At 48.8% G+C, this 27201-nt stretch overlaps 1 protein-coding gene across 4 annotated transcripts in view, besides 6 other annotated features; it reads left to right on the forward strand.

The window, feature by feature from the left end:
• Positions 653-842: a silencer, noted in NCBI's record as "silent region_6051". NCBI's record gives its function as "represses an Ori minimal core promoter by ATAC-STARR-seq in GM12878 lymphoblastoid cells {active_cell/tissue: GM12878}" and the evidence as "EXISTENCE:reporter gene assay evidence [ECO:0000049][PMID:35858748]".
• The window catches only part of C14orf132 (chromosome 14 open reading frame 132), a 54610-nt gene continuing 28211 nt past the window's right edge, over positions 803-27201 (forward strand). For 2 of the 4 annotated variants that reach the window (NM_001252507.3, NM_001282464.2), the window contains exon 1: positions 803-968. In NM_001252507.3, coding sequence (NP_001239436.1) covers positions 942-968 — 27 coding nt within the window. In that variant the 5' untranslated portion in view covers positions 803-941. Of the gene's footprint in view, positions 969-1715; positions 1809-12564; positions 12664-27201 lie in introns of all 4 variants that reach the window. The other 2 variants (NM_001289139.2, NM_001282463.2) reach the window with 2 other exon arrangements.
• Positions 863-912: a silencer, noted in NCBI's record as "silent region_6052". NCBI's record gives its function as "represses an Ori minimal core promoter by ATAC-STARR-seq in GM12878 lymphoblastoid cells {active_cell/tissue: GM12878}" and the evidence as "EXISTENCE:reporter gene assay evidence [ECO:0000049][PMID:35858748]".
• Positions 13587-13646: an enhancer, noted in NCBI's record as "active region_8981". NCBI's record gives its function as "activates an Ori minimal core promoter by ATAC-STARR-seq in GM12878 lymphoblastoid cells {active_cell/tissue: GM12878}" and the evidence as "EXISTENCE:reporter gene assay evidence [ECO:0000049][PMID:35858748]".
• Positions 15049-15548: an enhancer, noted in NCBI's record as "H3K4me1 hESC enhancer chr14:96519945-96520444 (GRCh37/hg19 assembly coordinates)". NCBI's record gives its function as "activates a minimal SCP1, AML or CMV promoter by ChIP-STARR-seq in naive H9 embryonic stem cells {active_cell/tissue: H9 hESC(naive)}" and the evidence as "EXISTENCE:reporter gene assay evidence [ECO:0000049][PMID:30033119]".
• Positions 21824-21977: a silencer, noted in NCBI's record as "fragment chr14:96526720-96526873 (GRCh37/hg19 assembly coordinates)". NCBI's record gives its function as "represses an EF-1alpha promoter that drives an FKBP-Casp9 reporter gene in an ReSE screen in K562 erythroleukemia cells {active_cell/tissue: K562}" and the evidence as "EXISTENCE:reporter gene assay evidence [ECO:0000049][PMID:32094911]".
• Positions 24149-24326: a silencer, noted in NCBI's record as "fragment chr14:96529045-96529222 (GRCh37/hg19 assembly coordinates)". NCBI's record gives its function as "represses an EF-1alpha promoter that drives an FKBP-Casp9 reporter gene in an ReSE screen in K562 erythroleukemia cells {active_cell/tissue: K562}" and the evidence as "EXISTENCE:reporter gene assay evidence [ECO:0000049][PMID:32094911]".

Here is a 27201-nt window from a genome sequence, read left to right on the forward strand (position 1 = left end):
ACCAAGTCTGTGGTGTCCACCACACACACACACACACACACACACACATACAGAGCAATGGGCCCCTGTGGGCGTCTCTTCTGTTCCCCTTACTTGAACTGTGGCACCTGCATGATTTTCGATACTGGTTTGAGCTGAGAGCCATGGAGTACCCGCTGTGCAACCTGAGCACCGTGCGGTCCTCGAAGACACCACTCACAGCCTCGTCTCTATTGGATGATTAGCCATGTTAGGGCTCTCATTTATTGAGGACACCGCGTGCTATATTCCCTATCTCATTTAATTATTCGGTTCTGTATTCTCTTTTCACAGATGAGGAAATCTAGGCTCAAAGACACTATCTTGCTCAAGCTGCACAACAAAGCAGGGCTAGGATTAAACCTCGTTCTGCCCAGATGCCGAGCCGGGAGTACACCGGACTCTGGGAGGAGCGTTGGCGTGGAAAGCCAGGTCACTCCGATCTTGGTCCTCAGGCTCGGGATAACGTGTCAGCCCCAAGAGAGCGCTGCCCACAGCCCCGGGTGGGTTGGGTTCAACTGCACGGGGCGGGGCGCCAACAGCTCAGGACTTGGGTTGCAGGCTGGTTCTTGCACCAACCAGCGGGGCGGCCTCGGGCCTCAGTTTCCCCATCCCGCCCACGAAGGGAGGCGATTGCGAGCGCTTGGGGTTTCTGACGGACCCCGCCCCGGGGGTGGGGCGGGGAGTGGTCACGTGGAGGGGCGCCCCGTCCGCCGAGCCCCGCCCCACCCCGCCCCGCCCGCCCCCGCGCTCGGGGCCCTCCGCCTAGTAGAGATCTGGAGCCAGAAGCCCAGAGACAGCCGAGTGCGCCGTGCGGTCTCCGGACGCTCGCTGCTCAGCCCGATCCCCGCCAACTGTGCAGGCGGCTGACCCGCAGCGGCAGCGGCAGCAGCGAGGACTCGAGCGCTGGCTGCAGCGACACCATGGATCTCTCCTTTATGGCCGCGCAGGTAACGGGGCGTCCCCCCCACGCGCCCCGGGCCGCCAAGTTTGGGGAGGTTCGGGGCCACGGTCTCGCCCTCCACGCTGGGGCTGGGCAGTGGCGCCCGCCCGCGATCCGCGTCCCGGTCCTTTGTCCCGAGCCGGACACCCCCACTTGGTGCACGCGTCGGGGGCGGCGATCGCGGCTCTCCCGGGGTGGGGCGGGCTGCGCGCCCCGCACCCCCGCGGCTCGAGCTGTTCCCGCCCGGGCCCCTCTCGTTGGCAGGAAGGCTGCGAGGAGCCTGGGCAGCCCGAGTCGCCCCCTTCTGCCCATCCCCCACTGCTGTCCCCCTTCTGGGGTCCCGGAGCCCTCCAAGGCCGGGCCAGCTCAGACCCGCGCGAACGTGGATGGGCACACAGTCTCGCCCTTCCCCACTCTGTTTTCCCGAGGCGCCAGTAATCTGTCTCTTGCCGGTGACCTCGGGCGCCCCCTTTGCCGCCGCCTGAGGAAGGCTCTGAGACCCGCTTTGTGACCGTGACCCGCCAAGCGTCGACGCGCCGCGGTCGTTTGTCCTGTTTTGCTTTGTGTAGAGTCTGATGGAGCCACCAGTGCCCAGCGCGGCCAGAACCCCCCCACCCCCCTCCCCGACACAAACAGGCTCCCAGTGGCCGGAAAAACAAATCTCTCACAGCTTGAATTTTCCTCCGGCAGAATGCCCTGGAGTTCTGAGCTTGGGTGATGATTCTATTTCTGTGCCTTAACTCTCTTGAGCCAGAACAAAGACAAATCCCGGATTTCTCCATCAGTCTGTGACCCTAGAGAAGACCCAGAGCTGGCTCCAGGGAAGGGCTGCGTTTGGCCTGGGAGAGTAAGTCCCAATCTACCAAAGCCACATCTTGCACCTTCTCTGGTTGTGTTGGTTGGTTATGGTGGGAGCAGAGAGGTCGGGAGGCCACCCAGGCTCCCTTCTGTCTCCAGGGTGTGTGGCAGGGACCCCATCTGCTGCTGTTTTCTTTTACAGGGAACGAAGTTTGAGGGGACACTTGCTTTTTCCCCAAGCTTCACCTGTAGTGGAAGCCTGTTTAAAAAGTGACAGCAAAATCCAGACTGTGTGTGGACAGCGAGTCTGCAAATGGAGGCTTAAAAGATGCGGAAGCCCCAAGTTAGTTCTGGGGGTCTAGATCCTGGCTCTCCGGCAGCCCCTTAAGTTTTCCATGATGCTAATTGCCCTTCTGAGTATCGCTGGCCCTTTTTTTTTTGCCTGATTTTACATCTCCTGTGCCTAAATCCATACTTATAAAAATTGTCATGTAAACATCATTTTAGATAATGATGGTTTTAGCTACATGAAAACTAAGGAGGCTTTCCAGGATTTATTTCTAGACTGGAGAAGAACTGTGTCTGCCTTCCCCTCTGGATCCCACTGAACCTCCGGAATTTCCATGGTTAACAAGATAAACTGATCCCTGCTAACCCTGGAGCTGGCTGGAGCATCAGTTGCTGCCATGGCAACTTGACGAAATAAATACAGGGCTTTTTAACGTCTTCAGGCAGAATCTGCCCAGAGACCAGGTTCCTATTTTTCCTTTTTTGTTTACAATTCACATTCCACTCGGTCAATGTATTCTCCTTGACACATTTTTGACACTGGTTACATGCGCAGTACTGTGCTAGCTGCAAGGAACAGAAACATGAAGTACCACACATATGAGAACAGACGCTAAGGTTTGTTGAGCACCTACTATGTGCCAGACGCTGGGTGCTTGGCATATTTTATCACAGCAAATCCTTACAAGTCCATGACGGAGGCCCCATTTTACAGGTCAGGACACTAAACGAGATTAAATAATTTGCCCAAGAGCATGCCATTTGCAAGGAGGAGAACTGGATTTCACATCTGGGCCTGAGTATCTGCAAAGGGTTTTCCACCTTATTGCTTCATCCTGAGAAAGATACGATGTAAGGTACAGGACAGATCTATTTCAGAATGATTTCTCTCTTCTCTTCCCTCTGGGAAGTGGGCTTACTATTGTGCCTTTCTAGTAGATTGCTTTCTGCTGTTGATTCATCCCATTATCCCCATAAGGATGGGAACTGTTACTTCCCTACCTGCAATACTTCGCAGTGCTTGGCTGGAGCAAGTGCTCAGACCCTGCTCCTGGTGTGTCCTGTGGCCACCAGGTGTGTGTGACAGTCACTGTCTCTCTGTGCAGTCTTTCCCTCAGCAGGGGGCAGTTTGCAGCGAAATGTTGGTGCATCCATCCACTTGCTCAGCAAATGTCTAGTACCTGCCTTGTGACAAGCTCCGTATCAGGCACTGGGACAGGGATCCTGTGGGACAAACTTGAATAGGACGTAGATTTTCTTTCTGCATGTTTATAAAAGCTTCAAGAAATGATGGGCCCGGCTAAGACACAGAGGGGAATGGCTAAAGGGCTGGGCTGGGTTGAAGAAGGTGCCCAGCACGTAGTAGGTCCTCAAGTATTTATTAGAGGATTGGATGAGGACAAGATGTATGTTCATGAAAAGACATTAACAGGAGAAGATGGTGAATTCAAAGTGTCAAATGCCAATGCCACTGAACAGCTGTCATCATCAGGACTTTGAGAATGGGGGCTGAAGATGGATTAGAACTGTAGGCATATATCTCCTGGTGGGCCTGGGAGTTAAGACTGTTCTAGGTGGAGAGATATCGAGATAGCGAAGTCCAGAAAATATTCACAGAGTTCTTCAGAAAGCTAGAGGATGGGGTGCAGGAGGGCTGGGAGACAGAGGCCAGGGCCAGATTATAGAAGGTGCTGATTGCTGGGGTGAGAAGTTTGCATCTAATCAGTAAGGCAGTGGGAGCCATTGCAAGTTATTGAGCAGGAGAATGGCATATAGTTGAAGCAGTCCCTTGGGAAAACCTCAGCCCCTGTAGAGGATAGAAGCTGGAGGGATTCCTGGGGCTGGGCATGCATGCTTGTGTGATTAACTAAGTCAGTGAAACCAGATCCACGTGACTCCAAGCCCACGTTTCTTCTTCCCCATGTTGTTAAATGTGATTCCTGTTTTTGGCTTAAGAAGACCCAGAACACATAAGCCATTTTAGAAAGATTTTCCACTCAAAAGCTAAGCATTAAATAGATATCCTCTTTGGGTGTACAGAGTAGACACCAGTTATCTGGCAAATCCTCTTAGACAGAGGTGCCCTCCCTGGTGCAGTACACGTGGCTGTATGACAGTGTAAGAGAGGCTGCAGGCACTGAGAGTGTGCTCGTGGACCCCATCTTACTTCTGAGCCCTGGAGGCTCCCAGTTGCCCTCTCCCCTACCCTGGAAACACCCCAGCCCCACTCCACACAGTGCCTGAGTCTCTGGTGACTCTGGAGGATGTGAACAGTGAAAAAGGCCATTCATTTCTCTTAGGCCAGGAGTGGCCAAGAGGACAGGGCCACCTGGATGTCCAGTGGGCTGGGGACAAGGCGAGAATCACAGTCTTTTAGGACTGAGTCCAAAATCCCTGTTTCATTGGCAGGATCACGCATGTTCAAAGACAGCCGCCATGCATTCCCTGTCTCCCTCCTGGACATGCTTGCTGCCCACCACTTCAAGAGCTGGAATCTGATTCTTCTCCCCTTAAATCTGGGACTGTCCTTGGTGAAGAGAAAGTCTAGTGGCTTTCTTGGTGAAGAGAATGCAGTATTGGTGACATTCTGTGGCCAAGTCCTAAAAAGCCTTAGCTTCCACTTGGGCCCGTTGGGATGCTCACTTGCTCCAGGGGAAGCCCACATCATCCAAGAAGTGCAGTGACACAGAGGCACATGCTGGGGGAAGGGAGCGAACATTTCAGGAACGTTCTGCATGCTAAGCCAGCACTCATTATGGGGGAATGGGATGGACAACAGAGACAGGAGGGCTCCTTCACTTGTTCTTATGGCGTAACTCTCCTGTTAAAGCATGCCTCGGGTCTAAAAGCTCAACCTTCTTTTTGTCTTGCACTGTCCCGTCCCTGCAGTGAGTGGTTTCAAGCCAGTGGTTCTCAAATGTTGTTGCCATTAGAATCACCTGGGAGCTTTCAAGAGTCCTGCTGCCCAGGTCTCACCTCCGATACTCCCATCAGATTCTAGGGGTGGGAGCCAGGCACCAGCACTTTCCTTGCATTCCCCAGCTGATCCCAGTGGTCAATGAAGGGTGAGACTCAGAGTGTAAGCCCACCCTATAGGATACATCCACCCTCCCACTTCTCCCTCCCTGGATGAAACAGATCCCTGGCTCTCTGGTCACCCTTAGGCCATTAAAAACTCATGTGGTCACTGGAAGTCACCTAACACAGTATCGATTCAGCAACTTAAAATGTTTGGGCCCAGAGTGACATAGCCTTGGAACTTGCTCCAAAACTGAGCTTCTCCCTCTCTCCAGGCCACACCTGCCAGAGGTGGGAAACCTGTAGTTGAGGTGGGTGCCTTTATTATTCCCATCATCAAGAAAGGGAGATTTGGAATGAATAGCCAGGGAGGCTCAGCCGGCAAACAGAGGGCCAGGAGCGGAGCCACATCCACTGATGCAGGACCATCCTTCCATGTCACCGCAGTACCCCTGCAAGAGCTGGGGGGGCCAGGGACCCTCTGTGGATCAGCTTCATCCTCTGATCCATCCAGGCGGTTGTGTTTGTGTACATTTTTATTTTATTATCATTATTCTTTTTTATTTTGAGACACGGTCTTGTTCTGTTGCCCAGGATGGAGTGCAGTGGTGCGATCATGGTTCACTGCAGCCTTAATCTCCCAGGCTGAAGCAATCTGCCCACCTCAACTGCCTGAGTCTCTGGGGCTACAGGCACATGCCACCATGGCTGGCTAGTCTTTTAAAAATTATCTTTAGTAGAAATGAGGTCTCATTATATTGCCCAGGCAGGTCTAGAGCTCCTGGGCTCAAGCGATCCTCCTGCCTTGGCCTCCTGAAGTGCTGGGATTACAGGCATGAGCCATTGTACCCAGCTGTGTACATTTTTAAACAAATTCTTGAACCAATCTCTATTAGTTTCCTAAGGCTGTGATAAATTACTACAAACTGGGTGGTTTAAAACAACAGAAATTCATTCTGTCATGGTTCTGGAGGCTGGAAGTCCACAATCCAGGTGTCAGCAGGGCCAAAGTAGTCTCTCTGAAGGTGCTGGGGGTGGGGGTGGAATCTGTTCCAGGCCACTCTCTTGGCATCACAGTGTTACCTGCAGTCCTTGGCATTCCTTGGCTTGTGGACACATTGCTGTAGTCTCTGCCTGCATCGTCATGTGGCATTCTCCCAGTGTGTCTCTCTGAGTCTCTTCTCATCTTATGAGGACACCAGCCATATTGGCTTAGGGCCCACCCTAATGACATTATCTTAACTTGATTACATCTGCAGAGACTCTGTTTCTAAATAAGGACATATTCAGAGGACCCAGGATTAGAACTTCATTCTACCTATCGAGGGGACACAATTCAAACCACAACAGGTTCTGAAGACCCGTAAAGGATAAGCATCTTGGCCCTCATATTAGCAGCTGTTGATCTTGGGGCAGCAGTGAACAGATCGCTTATTTAAACCTCAGTTTCATTATCTGTGAAATGGGGACAAAACTGTGTCCTCACGGAACTGTTCATTTAGTGTCTTAGAAAATGTTTCCTGTGTGCCAGGCCCTCCCTACATGGAATGCTTTAGGTTAAGGGATGTGCCTCAGAGCCTTCCAAGTGATAGATAACAAGATGGGGGTAAACACAGGGGCTCCAGGAGCCCAGAGATCAGGCAAGCCTTCAGGGGTTTTTGACTTGAACTGAGTTTGAGAGATGCATGGCGGTTATGCAGACATAGGAGTGTGGGTGTTTTGGGCAGAGGGAACTGTGTGCACAAAGGCAAGAAGGCTTGAAACAGTATCTCCTGTTGGGAGTGTGAGTTGCTAGTGGCCATTGGAGCAGAGGGGTCAGGTGGTGAGGGGGTGGGTGTATAAGTCCAGGGAGCCCGAAACCAGCCAGGTGACCTCATGGAGTGGAGTTGGATGGAGTGGGGGCTGTGATGCCCTGGAGAGCTTGGCCAGCCTGGCCTGGATGGGGCTTTGGAGCTCTAGCCCCTTGCTCATGCCATGCAGAAACACAGGCCTGGGGCCGCAGGTGCTTCTGTGTTTAAAAGAAAGCTGAAACTTTGATTTTCTCATGCACTCTGGTTGTTTTAATGTTAACAATTAAATTAACAATTAAATGTTAGAAATTTTTACCAGACCTACCAACCATGGTGTGGACTGTTTCTGTTACTTACTGCTTATGACTTCAGTTACTTAATGGCTTAAAGCAATCATTTATTGTGCTGACGATTTTGTGGGACCAGAATTGAGGAAGGGCTTGGCTAGACAGTTTGTTTTTGCCCGAGTGGCATCAGCTGGAACAGCAGAGACTGGAGTCTAGGCTTCCAGCGTGTAGTTTCCTCTGAACTTGTCTGGTGCCTCTAGGCAACTTGGCCACTCTCCTCTTGGGATTTCATCCTGCAAGGGCTTCTTCAGGTGACTTGGGCTTCCTCCCAGTATGGAGGTCCCAAGGTTGTTGCTCTTCTTGCATGGTGCTGGCTCCCCCAAGAAAGAGTGTTCCAGCAGTTCCAGGTAGAAGCTGCAGGCTTCGTAGGACCTGCCTAGAAGTCCCAGAATGTCATTAACACTACATTCTTTTAGTCAAGAAAGTCTCCAGGCCAGCCCAGATTTAAAGGGAGGGGAGTCGGATTCCAGCTCTTGATGTAGTGTGTGTGTCTAGGAGCAAGGGACAGAATGGATGGTCATTGTCCTTGGGGACTGGCTACTACTTGAACCAAACAAAACAGGTGTGTGGGCTGGATTCATCCCGGGGCTGCCAGTGTATTATCTCTAGACTAAACAAGGGTGTGTAGAGCTTGGCAAAACCTTAAAATACTGCCAAGCCCAGTAGAAAAGTCACTTATTACTAAGGAGGTAGGCCATGGCTTTATTAGGCTGAACCATGTGAAATTGCTGACATTTGACCATTTTTGACCTATCAAATGACCATTTTATTTGGTTCAGCTACATATTGGGGAGATCCAAGTAGGTTTCCTGTGCTTGAGGAGCTGGGAATTCCCCCACCTCGCTCTTTCGCCTGTCTCTTGGAATCTGGCCCTTGCCAGGTGGGAAGATTCAGTCTCACCTACATATTAACATCATATTAACACTGGGCCTGTCCTTCTGGGAGATACTACATGTGTATCTAATCACAGCTGAGATGCTGGCATATCCCCTGCTAATTCCCCTTCTAAAGAGAAGGTCCCCCAGGACCTTGAGAGACTCACAGTTAATTTGCATTTTAATCATTTTTCACAGAGGGGAAAAAAGACACAAAAGACATCTCTTCCTATTGGAGAGGTGATTTTGTTATCTCTTGAAACTGTCTTAGCTATGGGGAAGGGCCTCATTCTGACAGATATGCAAGAAACTAGCAGAAGTTGTCGGTCCCCAGAGGAACATATCGCTGCCCAGAAAAATAGAATTCTAGGGAGTCTGGCAGTCTGCTTCTTAGAGAATATTTTCTTCAGCCAATGAGTGCTTCTTTTTCTTCAAGCAAGAATTATCATTAAAATACAAATTGTCTGTTATCTTAGGGCTTGTCTGGTTGTACTTCAGGTTTCCATTGCAAAGATTTAAATATTTTATCCTTCTAATTAGACCTGCTTCAGGAGAGGGTATAAGGCCACATTTTATGCAGAGGTGTAATGAGCAGTTCAAGAAGTAAACATTCCAGTGATTTTTGTAGACCAAATTTCTAGTGTTTTAAGATTTCAGACATATGACTTGAAACAATGGAATCTCACAAAGCTAAGAGAACTGGGACATCTGCAGGTGGATGGCCAGTCTCCAATGAAATGCTTGAGTGTTTAGGGAGCACTTGCTGTGTGCTCTGTCCTGCTCAGGTCCTGCACCCCAGCTCTTTCTACACTGAGGTGATGGAGACCCATCTGTGTTCACTCCCTCCTCACTGTGTCCCCTCAAGACATCCCTGTACCTTCCCATCACAGCTACCATTCAACAGATGCCTTTGAGGTAGCAGACAAACCCTGTGCTGAGCAACACACACAATCTCACTGAATCCTTGCAATGGCCCCTTGGAATAGGCACATTCAGATCCATTTTATAGGTGAGGAAACTGAGGCTTAGAGGGCACACAGCTGGGGATCAAACACAGGTCTCTGCATCACGTCAGCCTATTATTTTTAAGAACTTTTTTAAAGAGATGTTTTAAGTTCACAGAAAAATCGAGAGGAGGGCATAGAGATTTCTCAGATGCCCCTCTGCCCCTGTTCATGCACAGCCTCTTCCACCATCAGCATCCCCACCGGAGCTGTGCATTTGCCACAACTGACTAACCTACGTCGACACATCAGAATCCTCCAAAGTCGCTGAGCCCGGTGGCTCATGCCTGTAATCCCAGAACTTTGGGAGGCCGAGGCAGGTGGATCACCTGATGTCAGGAGTTTGAGACCAGCCTGACCAACATGATGAAACCCTGTCTCTACTAAAAATACAAAAATTAGCTGGGTGTGGTGGTGGGCGCCTGTAATCCCAGCTACTCAGGAGGCTGAGGCAGGAGAATCGCTTGAACCTGGGAGGCAGAGGTTGCATTGAGCTGAGATCGAGCCATTGCACTCCAGCCTGGGTGACAGAGTGAAACTCCATCTCAAAAAACAAAAACAAAACACTCCAAAGTCCATAGTTTACATTAGGGTTCTCTCTTGGTGTTGTACATTCTGTGGGCTTGGACAAAAGTATAATGACGTGGATCCACGTTATAGACAGTATTTTCACTGGCCTAAAAGTCCTCTGGGCTGCATGTATTTGCCTCTCCCTCCCCTTAACTCCTAGCAATCACTGATCTTTCTACTATCTTCACAGTTTTACCTTTTCCAGGGTATCATAGTTGGAATTATTCAGTATGTAGCTTTTCAGATTGGCTGCTTTCACTTAGTAATATGCACCTAAGGCTTGATAGCTTTTTCTATTTTATTTTTTATTTTTATTTATTTTTTATATTTTTGAGATGGAGTTTCACTCTGTTGCCCTGGCTGGAGTGCAGTGGCGTGATCTCAGCTCATTGCAATCTCTGCCCCCCCGGGTTCAAGTGATTCACCTGCCTCAGCCTCCCGAATAGACGGGATTACAGGTGCATGCCACCATACCCAGCTAATTTTTGTGTTTTTAGTGGAGATGGGGTTTTACCATGTTGGCCAGGCTGGTCTCTAACTCCTGACCTCAGGTGGTCTGCCTGCCTCGGCCTCCCAAAGTGCTGGGATTACAGGTGTGAGCCACCACGCCCAGCCTGCTTTTTCCATTTTAGTGCTGAATAATATTCCATTGTCTGGATGTACCACAGCTTGTTTGTCCATTCACCTATTGAAGAACTTCTTGTTTGCTTCCAAGTTTTTGCTTTTCTTTTTGAGATGGAGTCTCGCTCTGTCATCCAGGCTTGAGTGTAGTGGTATGATCTCAGCTCACTGCAACCTCCACCTCCTGGGTTCAAGCAATTCTCCTGCCTCGGCATCCCGAGTAGCTGGGATTTCAGGTGCCCACCACTGTATCCAGCTAATTTTTTGTATTTATAGTAGAGACAGGGTTTTGCCATGTTGGGCCAGGTGTGGTGGCTCATGCCTCTAATCCCAGCACTTTGGGAGGCCAAGGCAGGCAGATCACCTGAAGTTTTGGCAATTATTAATAAAGCTGCTATAAACATCTGTGTTCAGGTTTTTCTGTGGACATAAATTTTTAAGAGCCTATTTTAAAATCCAATCTAACAATCTCTGCTTTTTAAATGGAGTGTTGAAGCTTTTATTTTATTTTATTTATTTATTTTTTTGAGACAGAGTCTCGCTCTGTCGCCCAGGCTGGAGTGCAGTGGCTTGATCTCGGCTCACTGCAAGCTCTGCCTCCTGAGTTCACACCATTCTCCTGCCTCAGCTATATATATATATGTGTATATATATGCATATATATACGTATATATACGTATATACGTATATATATACACATATATACATACGTATATATATACATATATACGTATATATACATATATACGTATATATATACATATATACGTATATATATACATATATACGTATATATATACATATATACGTATATATATATATAGAGAGAGAGAGAGAGAGAGTTCTGTCTTCTCTCTCCTCTTCTTTTGGGACTAATACACATATATTAGGTCACCTGAAGTTGTCTTAGAGCTCACTGATAGTCTCTTCATTTTTTTTTTTTTTGGTCTTTGTTTCTGTTTGTGTTTTATTTGGATAGTTATTATTGATATGTCTTCAAGTTAACAAGGTTTTCTTCTGCAATATCTAATCTGCTATTAATAATAGCCCCACCCAATGTACTTTTGATACTAGATATTATAGTTTTCATCTCTAGAAGCTAATTTGGATCTTTTATATAAAAACATATCTCTTCCATTCTCTTCTTAACATGTTCATTGTTACCTGTAGCTTTTTGGACATATGGAATACAGTTATAACAACTGTTTTAATGTCCTCACTTATTAATTCTAAATATGTCAATTCTGGATTGGTTTTGATTGATTGCCTTTTCTCCTCATATGGTTCATATTTTCCTGCTGCTTTACATGCCTGATAATTCTTGGTTGGATGCCAAACATTGTGAATTTAACTGTGGTGTATGCTAGATATTTTTGTATTCCCATAAATATTCTTGTGCTTTGTTCTGGGATGCAGTTCAGATGCTTGAGAACAGTTTGATTTTTGCAAGTACTGTTTTTAAGATTTGTTAGGCAGGATCAAGCCAAATTTAATCTAAGAGTAATTATTCCCCATCACAAAGGCAATGCTGTTCTGAGTATTCTACCTGCTCAGTGTCTCATAAATGATGAGATTTTCAAGATGGGTGATGGAAACAGGCACTATTTCTGGCCCTATATGGGTTCCAGGCACTATTTTCTATAATTTTTTGGGTGATTCTTTCCCTGCCTCAGGCAGTTTCTGTACAAACATGCATTCATCTGTCCTTTGTTGAATGTTTGAGTGGTCCCTCTCTCAAACCCCAGGGTTCTCTCTGTGGGCGGCTGTCTTCTCTCCATACTCTGCCATGTGGTCTCCAGCTGCCTCACTCTCCTCAGACTCTCACTTCCATTCTTCAACTCAGAGAGTCCATTGAGCCCTGCCTGAGTTTACTGCTCCATGGCCTGGAAACTTTCCATAGGCAGTAAACCGGAGCACCTGTATGGCTCATCTTGCCAATTTCCCATCTCTCGAGGGTCACTGTCCTTCATTGTCTGATGTCCGGTGTCTTGAAAATCATTTTCATGTATTTTATCTGGTTTTTCAGTTGTTTCAGTTGGGAGGGTAAATCTATTCCCTATTACTCCATTTTGGCTGGATGTGGAATTTTCATAAGGCTGTGCTTTTAACAGCTATATTTCCACCGTTCCTCCTTTTCTCCCGTTGTGGGAAAAGGAATGTTGACACTTGAATCTAAATCTAGACCATTACCCCTACCTCCCAGCTATGGGCCCCTGATCCAGCCAGCATTTCTCTTTCTCCCTGTCTCCCAAATGCCACAAAATGTGAGTAACATACATACATACTCTACAGGTCAAGTGAGCCTGGGGAATAACAAGTGAGGATGCCAAATCATGCATGGACCAGCCTAACTCCTTTCCAGTCTGCCGTTGCCACTTGGAGTTCTTCCAGGTATCCTGTGACAGGATGTTCCATGAGACATTGAGGGAGCCAGTCTTTGATTCAGGTGTGGGGTCTGCAGACCAGGACCCAGAGTTGGGCAGTTCAGTGAGCAGAGATGGGTTCTTTAGGCCTCCATCCCAAATCCCTGGGTCCTAGGAAGCCTTGTTCCCCAGAAGGATGAAAGTGAGGGGAAATGCCGGGAGCAGGTTGCTCCAGCCTGAGGCCCACGCAGTTTGCCAGCCTTCCATTTAGCCAAGAGCTGGAACACTGCTGATTTCTTCCAGCCCTCGTGAGGACCCCTCATCCATCTCCTCAGCATGAAGCTCTGGAAGCTGATTAGAAATATATTAAGACTTGGTTTCCAGCAGCTTTGAGGGACACCTGAGGGGGGCTGACTAATGTGCTCTCCCAGGCACCCTGAAACCGTCTCTCTGCATTGAGTCTTAGCAGCCCTTCCTGCATCTCCTGCCTTCTCTCTGACCTCCTGCCAATCCTTCTTCTCTTCCTATGGAGGTTCCACCCGGGTCCTGCTGCGTATCCCAATAATCAAATCAATTAGGCAGGGCCAGCCGTGCAGGCAGGCTGTGTTGGGGAATGTGGAAAGCCAGAAAGAAGTGATTGCCAGCCTTCATCGTCTTTGTCATCCTTGCCAACAGCATGAGAGCACACATTGCATACAGACCATCATTCCTAGGCACGAAGACCTGTGAGGCAGGAGCCCCGCCCTCTGGTGGAAGAAGAGGATAGCTGTCGTAGGTGAATCTTGAGCACCTGCTAAGAGTTCTGTGCTGCGTGGGCAGCCTATGAAGGCAACACATTCAGCATGCCCATTTTAGAGAAGAGGATACCGAGGCTCAGAGAGCTTTGGGGCCTTGCCCAAAGTCATCCAGGTGAGAAGAGGCTAAGCTGGGGTCAAGGCTAGATCTGAGTCACAGCTGATGGATTGTAGAGTGTTGGGGTGAGATGGAGGCAGATGTGAGCCCCAGAGAGTGTGGTTCTATGTCACAACTCCTTCCAGCCTGGCCGTCTCTGCAGCCTGTCTGGGCAGAGTGGATTGTGGCTGAAGCCAGGTGTCCCACGACTCAGACAGGCTGGTGCCAGAGGTGGGGGTGGGGACCCCACAGGAGGCTGAAAGAATTGAGAGGGGCGTTGGAGGACAGGAAGCTTGCTCCCCCCGGGAGAGGCTATACCTCTCCTCTGCCCCTGCAGCTCCAAGCAGCTCACCATCAGGGCATCCCTCCCTTCCGAGGTTCCCTTGAGGGCCAAGGTTCTCATCTCATTTATGTCAGGATTGCTGCTGCCCAGCCCAGGGCTAGAACCAGTAAATATTTCATAAACCAATCAAGGAAGAGCAGGGAATTAATAAAGGCACAAGAAAGAAACTGGACAGAAAATTATGGCTTGCATCAGCTTGCGGGGCACCTCCTCTTTGAGTCTGGATTATGACTTTCCCCAAGGCCAGTGATCCGGACAGCACCAAGTCCCCCACCCTTGCCCCACGTCCTCAAACTCCCCAGTCCCCAGCGCCCCTCTCTTGTCCCCCTGCAAACTGTCTGCTGCATGCTGGGCCCAGCAGCACAGGCATTCTGCGCAGTACCCTCTTCTTCCTCTGAACGATTCCATGGTGTGAACCTGGGATGACTCAGTTGACTCAGGAGGAGAGTGGAGGCCAGACAGGGTAAGACGCCGGCTCAAGGTCTTTCAATGGGGCTTGTATTTGGAGAGGGCTGACCCCTTTAAACCTCTGGACTTCTCTGTCAAAATGGTGACTCAGAGGTAAGGTGACCAACCACCCCGGTTTCTGCAGGGCTGAGGGGCTTTCAAGACAGGAGACTTCCACTTCCAGTGCTGAAACCAGGACAGCCCCAGGCCAACTGGGATGGCTGGTCACCCTACCCAGAGGCCATTTAAAAGCCCAGAGGCTTTTTGGATCTCACTGTATTTGACTAACATTCTTGCTTTTTAAAAATGAGTGGGGATGGTTGAAACCATGTCCAGAATCCACACCTTTCCCCGGCCCATTTAATTCTCAAGTGTTAACAGGCACTGAGGATGAGCCAGACACCGTTCTAGGCACTGGGGACGCTGGGGAACAAGCACTAAATTCCCTGCTCTCGCTAAGGGCACCTTGTCCTGACAGCTGCTCACCTCTTATGAAAGGTGACCAAGGAGCGAGGGCACCACACAGTCCCTGCTGTCTGCTCACTTCTGTGTCCCGGCAGCCATGCAGAGAGGTGCCCAGTACATGTTGACTTTGATGAATCCATCAGGAAGGCAGCAGAAGATAAGCAGAGCCTGGGCAGACCCCTGGCCCCCAGAATGGGACTCTCCCTGGGCTGGCCAGACTCAGCAAGGAGCAGGCAGGCCCCCTCCTCTTCTGTGGTCCTAGAAATCCCAGGCTGAGCCCCAACAGCAGCTGGTGGTCTTGTAGGAGGAGCAGAGCCCCACCCCCATGATGGCCTTTGCCTGTTCAGTCTCCAATGGCCACCTGTCACCCAGAAGCCTCCCAGTGTTACAGAACACTGTTAGCCAGGTCACACGGCTCACCCTGTCAGTCTCCAGCAGCCCACTGTGGGAGGAGGTACCAAAAAAAGGAGGGATGTGGTCCCACCCACAGTCATGAGGCCTTGGGGAGGGAGCACTCCAGGGAGTCAAGCCATAGCCCCCAGCAGAACACTAAAGCGTCTGTCGCATCTCTCTCTTTACCCATCTGTCTGCCTCTCCTCTGCATAGGAGACCCTCAGGGCTAATGCAGTAAGCTGTGCCTCTCTTTACAGCTCTCTAGGGCCTGGCTGGTGGAAGGCCTTAATAAATGCCCGCAGTGAGCATAATGACCCCTCAGTTGGGGAGGGTGGTGGAAGTTCTGACTCGTCTGTTTGCGCTATTCTGGGATGCTGACCAAACCGCCCATGTAGAAGCACAGACTGTAATGTGCCAGAATCCCTCCCCATCATCCCTTATGCAGGGTGAGTCACCCGTTGTGTCTGTATCTTTAGCAACAGGAGGCTCACCACCTCACCAAACAGAGACTTCCATGGGAGTCAGGTCTCCCTGGGCTACAGCATGGCCCTGCCACTGCGCTGCCGGGGAAATCACGTCATGGTCCCCAGCCACGGCATTCTCATTTGTGCAGTGCACTGATGGTAGTTATGATACGTTGCCACAAGCCTTGGGATTTTGCCGCTTAAATATGGTAATGTGGCACCTGAGATGGGGAGGCAGGAGGCTTGAGTTCCCGGCCTGCCTCCACCACTCATGATTTGGGGCTGTTTGACTTGGAACAAGATGCTTAATTTCTTGGAGCCTCAGTTTCCCTTTCTGTTAAATGGGAACAGTAGTAATAGCTCATAGTATGGGTGGGAGAATCAAATGAGATGGTGAATGAGAAAGAACAAACTGTGCAGGGCAGCATGGACACCAGGAATTATTATGTTTGAACCAAAACTGTATATCCCCCTCCGCATCATCCCTTTTTTTGGGCTAAATGTAGCCATTTTCCTCAACTGTTTTCCCAAATGCACATTCTCTCTAAAAATCTTCACTAGGTCAGGCTCTGGTCTGTTAGTGTTCTTATAGAACAGTTTTTTCAGAACAGGACATAATAATTCAGGAAAATCTATTACCTCCTTGGATCTAGCCCTAATGCATTCACTAATGTGGCCAGTGAGGGCCAAATCTTGCCTTGTCTAATGCAAAACCTTTGACTCATTCTGAGAGGAGATCTCTCTTTCCTAAACACTGCTGTTCAGCCACGTCTCTCCTCCAGGATTTTTACAACTGATTTTTTTGAAGCTTAGCACAGATATGTCAAGAACTGTGAGGGGTTTGCAATTTTACTTTGCCTTCAAGTTAGTCTTCCAAAATTTCAAAGATGCAGACAGAAGACATGAGACTCCCGGAGTCAAAGGGCATTATTACTCACACCGCAGCAAGCGACTTGAGCTTCATGCTCACATCAGTGCTCCCTGCTCTGCAGGTCCCATGGGGCAATGTGGAGCAGCCCGGGTGGGTTCCGCGCATGCCATGGGTTTGTGTGACAGCTGAGGAACCCAAGCTTAGAAAATCCCACTCTTTTCAGGGAGACTGCTGACAAACCTGCCCAGCCTTTGCCTCAGAGTGAGAGATATAATTATCCTGGTCAGGAAACAGATGTGCCCTCTGCCCCAGAGGGGACACTGTCTTTTTTCAAGGCTGTTTACTTTACCCACATCTTGAAAAGATAGTCCAGAACAGAGACTATCAAATCCTCTATTCAAAAGGCACACAGAACAGGATTCTATGGAGAATTGCCTTCCAACTATGCATTTATACGTATCCTTCACAAATGCCGCTGCGTACATCTGGGCCTGCATCTCAGCTTGGCCACTGCTGAGCTGTATCACCTTGGGCAAACTCCTGAACCTCTCTGATCCTCCGTTTTCCGCAGCCTGTAAGAGGAGGTATAATTCCTATCTTCCAGAAGTTCTGTAAGGGACTCTCTGAAGTAGTGTTCATGAAGCCTCCTCACCGTGCCTGGTACAGAATAGACCATGGAGAGGAGGCAGCAGGGCCAAGATCACTGTGATTTAGAGCCCATCCTTCTGACCACTTAAATCTCTTTCCTTCACTATCCCTCCCCGACTTAGTCCTCTGGCTCCTGTTTCTTCCCTGCCAAGTGGGGCAGAATCACCTGGGTAGCTGGTGTTGCAAGGCTTGGAGCAGAGATCTCAGAGCCCGGGTCGCACCTAGGCTCTGGGACTGGGTGGTACTTTCTAAGCTTAGCCTCAGTGTCCTTTGTTACAAGGAACCCACCCCCTGGGATTTAAGAAATAATTAAAGGAGATAAAAAACATGAAATGTTTGGAATGTTCCTGCAAGGGACAGGTGCTCAGTAAAGACTTTATGATGCAATTTGGATAGCTTGAGCCTCTCAGAATGCGGTGTAGGCCATTCTAGCTGCTCCCCAGAGGGAACTTATTAGAAAAAGCAAGACAATTTGCAAGCCTCTTGCAGCTCACTCAGCATGCTGGTGGCATGCAGCAGCAATTGGCTGTACATTCAGCATTCACGTGACATGGCCCTCTGTGAGCTTCTGGCTTGGGGAATACAGAACTGCCCAGGGCGGCCTGCAAGGGGGTCAGGGTGGTCAGCTGGGCCTTTTTGGCCTTGACAATACTGCTCTCACATTGTGCGACCTTAGGGAGAGGAGAGTGGTGAGGAACCTCCTCCTTCTCGCTGGGCTCCGCTGAGGAACTCAGCACTGCATAGTGGTCAAGGGTTTCAGAGGAAATCAGACTGACTTAGGTTTGAATCCCGAGTTTGAAACCAGCTGGGTGACTTGAGCACATCACCCATCTTCCTGAGCTCAGTTTCCTCTACTGTAAAGTGGGGATAATGACCTCTCCTGGCTCGTGGAGGTGTAAGGATTAGGTAAGGCCATGTGTGTGCAGAGGCTGGCCAGGAAATGGTGCCTATGATGACGTTGCACTATTTTCTGTTTTTTTTGGTCTGCAAAATGCAGGTTGAGTGGGTAGACCCTAAGATCTCTTATTTCATGGGGAGATGGAAAAACTCCTGGAGTTGCAGTCAGAAAACCCCGGTCCAAATTCTTTATAGCCTCACACAATTTATCTGCACCTCACCTGTAGATGGTGCCAGCTCCCCACGCCTCCTTCTGTGATGTATGGCAAAAACACTGGTCACCATACCTGACAGAGGACTTTGGTAGGTGCTCAAGGTCCCTCTCAAGCTCCAGGGTTGTCAATGACCAGGGCCGCTGGCCTCAAAGTATGCTCCATCTAATCAGGGCTATAGCCAGTATGAAGGTAACTCAAGCATCAGACACTTAATGGGGCTCACAGGCACACCTACAGGGTTTTGCTGTGGTTTGAATGTTTGTCTCCTGCAAAACTCATGTTGAAACTTAATCCCCAATGCAATGGTATTATCCCAGTCAGGAAACAAATGGGCTTTTAGGAAGTGATTAGACCGTGAGGGCTTAACCCCCTCATGAATGGATTAATGCCATCTAAAAGGCCTTGAGGCGGTGAATGCACTCCTTCTGTCCCTTGCACTTTGTGAGGACACAGCCTTCCTCACTCCAGAGGGTGCAGCAGCAAGGCACAAAAGCAGAGAGCAGAGAAGCCTTCAGCAGACACCAGAGCTGCCTGCACCTTGATCTTGGACTTCCTAACCTCCAGAACTAGGAGAAATAAAATTCTATTGTGTATAAATTGCCTAGTCTGTGGGATTTTGTTATAGCAGCACAAACAAGCTAAACGAAGACCGGTTCCAATGGCTGGAGCTGCCTGTCACTCTGTTCTGATGCTGAGGATTAGACCTCAGGGCATCTACTGGAATGGTTCAGGCTGAAGGAGCTCATTGAACCCCAGTGGCACACAGGGTGAACCGGCCCAGCAGCAGACTCCTTTTTGCCAAACAATGCAGGAGTGATGTCTTCTGCAAAAGTGGAATCTGTTTGGCCTCCTGCTGATGAATGATGTCTATTGGTCCTTGGAAGTAGAGTCCATTTTTTATACTTTTGGTCAGGAAAATCACGTGGTGCTAGTAGACATCCTGGGAGAGAATCCTGCAGGCCTCCTGCATTGTACCTGGAAGGAAGCTCAACTCCACCCCTGGATCCTTTGTGGAGAACCATGTGGAGGCACTGAAATTCCTTCACGTCTCTTGGTTCCTGTCGCGGAGGTTGGAGAAGTTAACCTTAGGTGCCATTGGTCCCTTGAGTCACCATAACCATAACTGACCATACTGACCATGCTAACGCCTGCCTTGCTGTGTGCTGGGCTCTCCGTTGAACGTGTTACACAGAGCAGCACAGCTAAGCCTCACCACCATGCTCTGAAGTCGAGATTACAATTAAGCCCAATTTTCAGGTGAAGCAACTGAGGCTCAGATTTGAACCAGCCACCTGGCTCCCACGTGCTGTGTCTCATGGCTCACTTCCTCAGCTCAGGGTCTCCACTCTCCTCCCTGCCCGCACTTCGTGAGGCACATCCTCCTCACTCGGTCACTGTACACCTCTGTCTGTGTCCAACTTACTCACAAACACAACTTGTGGCTCCTGGAAGTAACTGCCTTCTGTGACCTGATGCTATTTTATTCCATTGGAATAAAGATCCTTAATGATGCCATTTCTACCTCCCCTCTTCCCTAACTCCCACCTCAACTCACCTCCCCCTTCTTTTAAGAATCTTGTGAACATTGGCTTATTTATACTTATGCACCATCTCAGGCCTCCCGGGGAAGGTTTTAATCATCTACCTTCTTGCTGGAGACATCTTGAAAGACTCCAATCCTTCACCCATGCTGAGAACATCTCAAGCAAAGCAAGAGGCATGAGAACAGTTTTTAATTGAAGTTAACATTGTGGCTTTTCCCACACAGCCAGACACTCAGGCATGTTGGGAAGATTAAAAGTGATGTTGGAAAATGCATCCACGAGTCTGTGCCCTCAAGCAGAAAGCAGCAGCCACCTGGGCTCATGGATCAGACAGGATGCATCTCAAACAGAGAATGGGAAGGATCCATAGATTTCCCTGCCTGGCCCAGCTCTCCCAGGTGCCTCCTACAGCATTGCAGCAGTAGGGCTGCCACTGGCAGGGCTGGGAACAGCTCGGGGGCTATCTCCTGTGCAGGGTAGCCACAGGTTGCCCAAGGGGCTTTGATTCCCCAGTCTTGGCTCTGCCAGAGCCTGGTTGCATATCCCGAGAAAGTCATGACTGAGCCTGTTTGCATATTTGAAGAGGGGCTCAAGATTACCTTCCCCAGGCTGGGCGCAGTGGCTCATGCCTATAATCCCAGCACTTTAGGAGGCTGAGGCGGGCAGATTGCTTGAGCTCAGGAGTTCAAGACCAGCCTGTGCAACATAGTGAGACTCTGTCTCTACAAAAACTACAAAAAAGTTAGCCAAGTGTGGTGTTAAAAAATTAGCCTAGCCAGGTGCACATCTGTAGTCCCAGCTACTCAGGAGGCTGAGGTGGAAGGATTGCTTGAGCCCAGGAGGTCGAAGCTGCAGGGAGCCATGATTGCAGCACTGCCCTCCAGCCTAGGCGACAGAATGAGACACTGTCAAAAAAACAAAACAAAATGAAAAACCTGCCCCATGGGTTTATTTTGAACACTGGATGTGGTAATTTGTGCAAACAGCTTTGCAAATATAACAGATAGTAATGACACAGCTTGACATGTATTGAGCACTCATGAAGGGCCAGGCACTGCTCTCAGCACTTCTCATCATTCCCATTCTACAGATGAGGAAACTGAAGCCCCAGGGTTATGTCACCAAGCCACACAGGGAGCAAGTGGCAGAGGGGGATTTGCAGGTCATGTTTGGGCATCCTTGCTGTCAGCCACTGTGCTGTGCTCACTTGTCACATGGCAGCATAGCTCATAGGATATTCTTTAACCTGGCAGTAGTGTCTGCTGGGGGGGCCCTAGCTGGGTTGGGTATTTCTTGACCCAGTAACATCCATCCAAACTCCCATGCCACTGCTTCAGCCCTTGGTCCCGCCTTTCCTCCTCCCTGGACGACTGCAGGTGCTTCTCACCTGGGGGGTGTCTCCAGTTGCTTCCTGATCTGTTTCCTTTCTTCACTCTTGCCAGAGGGAGCTTTCTCCTGCTGAGGGTCTTCTGTGGCTTCCTCCATCCATGGGATACAGTGCCAGGTCCTTGGGCCAACTGTTGTTCCCATGAGCAGACCCCATCTCTAGGCCTGGGCCCGAAATGCATCTTCTTGGTGCCCACACCAGTCAGGCTGAGACACATGCAGCTCCCCATAGTGGTGCCCCAAATTTTCAGTGCCTTGTCCCTGGGATGCCCCCCTCCCCTCCTTCAGTGCTGGATTCAGAATCCCCTTCCCACAAAGCCAGGTGCCTGGATCCCACATGCTAAGACACTGTCCTTTCTTCTGAGTGGCCAGTGCCCTTTTGTAGCATTCCTGAGGACTTCTCCCTCCCTATCGGCTAGATTGTCATTTGTGGAGCTGATCGGCTGGTTCTTGTGTGGCTCCCCAGCACAGGACACAGGGCTGGTATGAAGTTGATTCTGCACAGAAAATGAAGGAGGTGGGATTGGTGTCACAGGCCCAGGTCTCTGCTGGCCCCCACACTGGCTGTGTGATCTTTGCAAAGGTGACCCCCTACAGCTACCATCTCTGCAACAGTAAAAATGGAATGACAGCTGTTCTATTGGCACGGTGACCACTGACCAGCCAAGTGAGCTGCGATGTGCTTTATGATGTGTAGAGTTCCAGTGCCGTGCATGTTCATTGCTTGAGTGGCTAAACAGAATATTGAGTTTATTCAGCAGATTTTTTATCCTCTGCACCCTCATTCTCGTGCTACCATCTGGGGACTCAGGGCTCAGCTCCCTGACAGAGTAGTGTCCTTCCCCACTCTGTCTTTCTCCTTTGCCTCACCCATTCACTTGATTTCCTCCTCAGCCACCCCCAATTCCCATGCTGCATGCCTGAAAGAGGCAGGAACTTCACCTCTATGCTTTGGCCAGAGGCCTCTTCTCTCCCACCCGTGCCCAGTGCCAGGGACTCAGCCCAGCATCAGCAAATCCAGCAAACACATCTGTCTAAAGAGGAATAAATCCCACATCTCCCGTGCCAAACATCCAAGGAGCTGAGATGGGAAGGGTCTGGGTAAAGGGTTCCCTGAGCCCTGAGACACATCCCTGCCCATTTCCATAGCCCATTGTGTATTTGCCATAGACCTTTGAATAGGAAGGAAAACAGTAAGCTCATAATTCTCAAGTTTGAAAAAGTCCTTCCCAGAACATGCACCATCTTTAAATAGTAAAAACAAAGACAATGCCACGACCATCACCTACTACTAATGCTACTAAAACTAAACACAATGGCAGCTTATTAAATTACCATTTCCCTGGTGCTGGGCTCTGTGCCTAAAACCATGCACTGGGCCTCATTCTCAGGGCTTTTCTTCTGTCAGCTCAAGAAGTCCTCACAGCACCTCAGGGAGGGAAATATTTTCATTACCCACATTTAGAGATAAGAACGATAAGGCCCAGAGAGGGTGAGGGATTAGTTCACAGTCACACAGCTCCTTAGTAGCCAAGTCAGACATGGGGTGCAGATGGCCCAGCTCTTTGTTCCTGCACCTTCTCCCTGTTGGAGTAGCTGGGGTTGGTGTTATCTACTGCCATTGGGCATGTATTCGCACCCCTTATTTTAGTTCATAGGTTCATTTAAGGAGCTAACTGTGTGTGTGACAAACAGCAAACGTGGCTGCCTGGAGAGCCCACCACCAGAGCTAGAGCTGTGTGTGATGAACGTCTGCAGTGGCAGATATGATTCACTGGGGTTCTGATTCTCTGTGGGTTTAACTTATTGTATTTTCTTTTAAGTAGCACTAATTTGCCATCATGTGCCTTTGGGTGGGCAATATTTAAAGAAATAAACATCTCAGGACAGGTGCAGTGGCTCACACCTGTAATCTCAGCACTTTGGGAGGCTGAGGCAGAAGGATGGCTTGAGGCCAGGAGCTGGAGACCAGACAGGGCGGGTCTCTACAAAAAATAAAAAGTTAGCTGGGTGTGGTGGTGCATGCCTGTAGCTTCAGCTACTTGAGAGGCTGAGGCAGGAGGATTGCTTGAGCCCAAGAGTTTGAGGCTACAGTGAGCCAAGATCACACAACTGCATTCAGCCTGGGTGGCAGAGTAAGACCCTCTCTCTAAAAATAAATAAATAGATAAATAAATAAATAAACAAACATCTCAACATAATTCCACAGCTTTCTTACAAATGCTCAACAGAACAATTATTCTAATATTTTGTCTTCTATCTCAGTCACCACATTCCCCCTTAACGAGGAGTTAGTCAAACTTTCTGAGGATAAACCCTCTATCCAGCTGGTCCGGTCCTTTGGCTCATGTTGAAGTCAAAAGCCCTTGCAGGCAGCTTTTCTTGTCTGCTCATGGCTTTTCTCCAGCAAGTCGCTCCATGGATCGAGTCCCTGCCATGTGCATATGTCTTCTCTGAACCTTCCACAGTCTGCCCACTAGGGTGTTGAACCACAGGTCAGGTAAAGAAAATGGGCTTGGAGTGAAGGACTGGATGTGTGGCTATGCTACCAGAGAGAGAGCCTGACTGCACCCTGGCCTGAACCCCTAGTCCTCTTTCACCCTCAACCATGAGATGAGCATCACCAGCTCCAAATGCTCCCCATTAATCAAGAAAGAAAACAAAAAGGACCAATGGATCTTCGTGTTTTCCTTTCGTCAATCTACTTTCTCTCTCCCCTGCCTTTTGCAAAAGCTGACATGGAGATTGCAGCCCTCCACATGTGTCTTTATGGTAATAATTTGAAACACCAGCACTGCCTGTTTCAATTGGAAAGGAGGCATTTCCTGCCTCTTAGGAAAAAGTCCTCCTGCCCAGCTCCCTGCTCACGGCTGCTAAGGTTCACATCCTCGCAATTCCACCACTCTGAGCTGCATCCGTGTCAGAACCGCTAGGGAGTGGTCCAGATCCCTTTGCCAAACATTTCAGCAACTGGAACCCAGGTTTCTCAACAGAGGATTAAAGCGCTGTCTTCACTCCTGGGCTGCCAGGTACATTCTTCCTTGGCCTTCGGAGTGCCCTTACATACTCTCAGGATGAATCCAGTCTTGTTTCTGAGATGATTTTCTTTCCAACAAACAGGTTACTTATGGAGCATAATATAGACTTGATTTTGCCCAAACAAGCCACTGAGCATTTATTGAGTGCCTGCTATGTGCAAAACACTGAGGATCAAAGACACACCACAGACCCTCTCTGCCCAGAGTCACAAAAAGAGTGGATGTCAGTACTTTTATCACAGAAAAAAATTTTTTCATCTGATGCTTTTAAAGAGTTTGGAAGGTGGATGAGGCAGGGATCGTCATATCTGTTTGATAGCTGGGTAAGCAGAGGCCAGGGAGCTGTGAAGCAGCCGTTGACTTGCAGCTGGGGCGGGTCTCAGGCCTCCTTGCTCTTGTCCAAGCTGCCATCCCCTCAGGAACAGAGGGTGAATAGGATGGAGGTTCCGTATAAGAACTGACCTCTTGAAAAGTACTGTCCACCCAAGGAACAGGACTGTGGTATCCTTTTGTTTGTTTGTTTGTTTTTTGAGACAGAGTCTCGCTCTGTCACCCAGGCTGGAGTGTAGTGGTACAATCTTGGCTCACTGTAACGTCTGTCTCCTGGTTTCAAGTGATTCTCCTGCCTCAGCCTCCCCAGTAGTTGAGACTACAGGCAAACGCCACCACGTCGGGCTAATTTTTGTATTTTTAGTAGAGACGGGGTTTCACCATGTTGGCCAGGCTGGTCTCAAACTCCTGACCTCAGGTGATCCACCTGCCTCAGCCTCCCAAAATGCTGGGATTGCAGGGGTGAGCCACCACACCCAGCCATGTGGCATCCTTTTGAGGAACAACAAAAGTTACGTCCCTACATTGGCTTAGGCAAGGATTTGGTGACCAAGAACCCAAAAGCAAATGCAATAAAAACAAAGATAAATAGCTGGGACCTAATTATTCTAAAGAGCTTTTGCACGGCAAAAGGAACAGTCAGCAGAGTAAACAGACAACCCACAGAGTGGGAGAAAATCTTCACTATCTATACATCTGACAAAGGACTAATATCCAGAATCTACAACAAAATCAAACAAATCAGTAATAAAAAAAATAAACAATCCCATCAAAAAGTGAGCTAAGGACATGAATAGACAATTTTCAAAAGAAGATATGCAAATGGCCAACAAACATATGAAAAAATGCTCAACATCACTAATCATCAGGGAAATGCAAATCGAAACCACAATGCGATACCACCTTATTCCTGCAAGAATGGCCATAATCAAAAAACAGTAGATGTTGGCAGGGATGTGGTGAGCAGGAAACACTTCTACACAGCTGGTGGGAATGTAAACTAGTACAGCCACTATGGAAAACAGTGTGGAGATTCCTTAAAGAAATAAAAGTAGAACTACCATTTGATCCAGCAATCCCAGTACTGTGTATCTACCCAGAGGAAAAGAAGTCATTATGTGAAAAAGATATTTGCACAGGCATGTTTATAGCAGCACAATCCACAACTGCAAAATCGTGGAACTGACCCAAATGCCCATCAATCATCGAGTGGATAAAGAAACTAGGGTGCATATATACACACACACACACACACACACACACACACATATACATATATGTATATATATACACATATATACACATATATATGTGTATATATATGTGTATATGTATGTATATATATATATGATGGACTACTAGGCAGCCATAAAAAGGAATGAATTAATAGCATTTGCAGTGACCTGGATGAGATTGGAGACTCTTATTCTAAGTGAAGTGACTCAGGAATGGAAACCCAAACATCATATGTTCTCACTGGTATGTGGGAGCTAAGCTGTGGGGATGCAAAGGCACAAGAATGATACAATGGACTTTGAGAACTTGGGGGAAGAGTGGAAGAGGGGGCATAAAAGACTACAAATACGGTGCAGTGTCTACTGCTCGGGTGATGAGTGCACCAAAATCTCACAAATCACCACTAAAGAACTTACTCATGCAACCACAAACCACCTGTACCCCAATAACTCATGGAAAAATAAAATTAAAAAAATTAAAAAATAAAAAAGTCACGTCCTCATCTTAATTTGCTCTCCTGGCATTTTGCATTTTCCATGCTGGGATTCCGCTCTGGCCAGCTCTGTTGAACAGGCTTTGCTGGTTGGCAGGGATTGTGCACACACATGGTGCCACCTCCCTTAGCTTCTCTGGCCCTGTTTTCTTCCTAACCCAGTGTGCTGTCTTCCTCCCATACATAGGTAGGGGGTTTTGACGTGACTTCCTGGACATCATGTGTAGCGGTCGGGGGAGTTTTCTCTGGCTTCTGACCCAGCTGGGTGTACTGAAATAACTGTGAGGCTGCAGGGTTCTGAGCCGGATTGTGTTGGCACAGGATGGCCACCTCTGTGCCTTCCTCTTCTGCTCATACAGGTGCCCCTGGGGAGGAGGGTGCAGTGTGTTCCCCTGAGAGCTACATTGGTTGGAGGAGACTATAGCATTTTAGAACGTCCTCCTGGAGATTCCGATGTGCATCTCCAGTGGAGAATCTGGCCTTTTGTTGCTGTTGTTTCATGCCATGATTACTACTGAAGACAATTTTGCCATATAGAGGAGAGGATGTTTAAAAATAAACCAAAAGGATCCACTTAGGGAGGTAAACATCCTGGGCTTGCCGTTGCCCCGGCCGCCGCTTCACTCCAGTATGCGTGTGCTCGCTGATGGAGAATGATGCTCAGTTTCACTTTTATTCCTTTTGTCCTCTCCTCTTAGCCTTCATCACCCCCCACCACTTTCCCCTTCTCTCTCTCTTCCTCCAAAATAGGGATTACATAGTTTTTTTCTTGGTACCTCTGGCTTCTAGCCTGACCCCCTCCACCCCCAGCATGTAGTAGGTGCTCAGTAAAAGGTCTGTTCAGCCAATGAACGAGATAACAATTGAACAAACACATTCCCCACCCATCCTCCTAAGGCCCTGAG

Source organism: Homo sapiens, chromosome 14, assembly GCF_000001405.40.
Source record: "Homo sapiens chromosome 14, GRCh38.p14 Primary Assembly".
NCBI classification, from domain to species: Eukaryota; Metazoa; Chordata; class Mammalia; order Primates; family Hominidae; genus Homo; species Homo sapiens.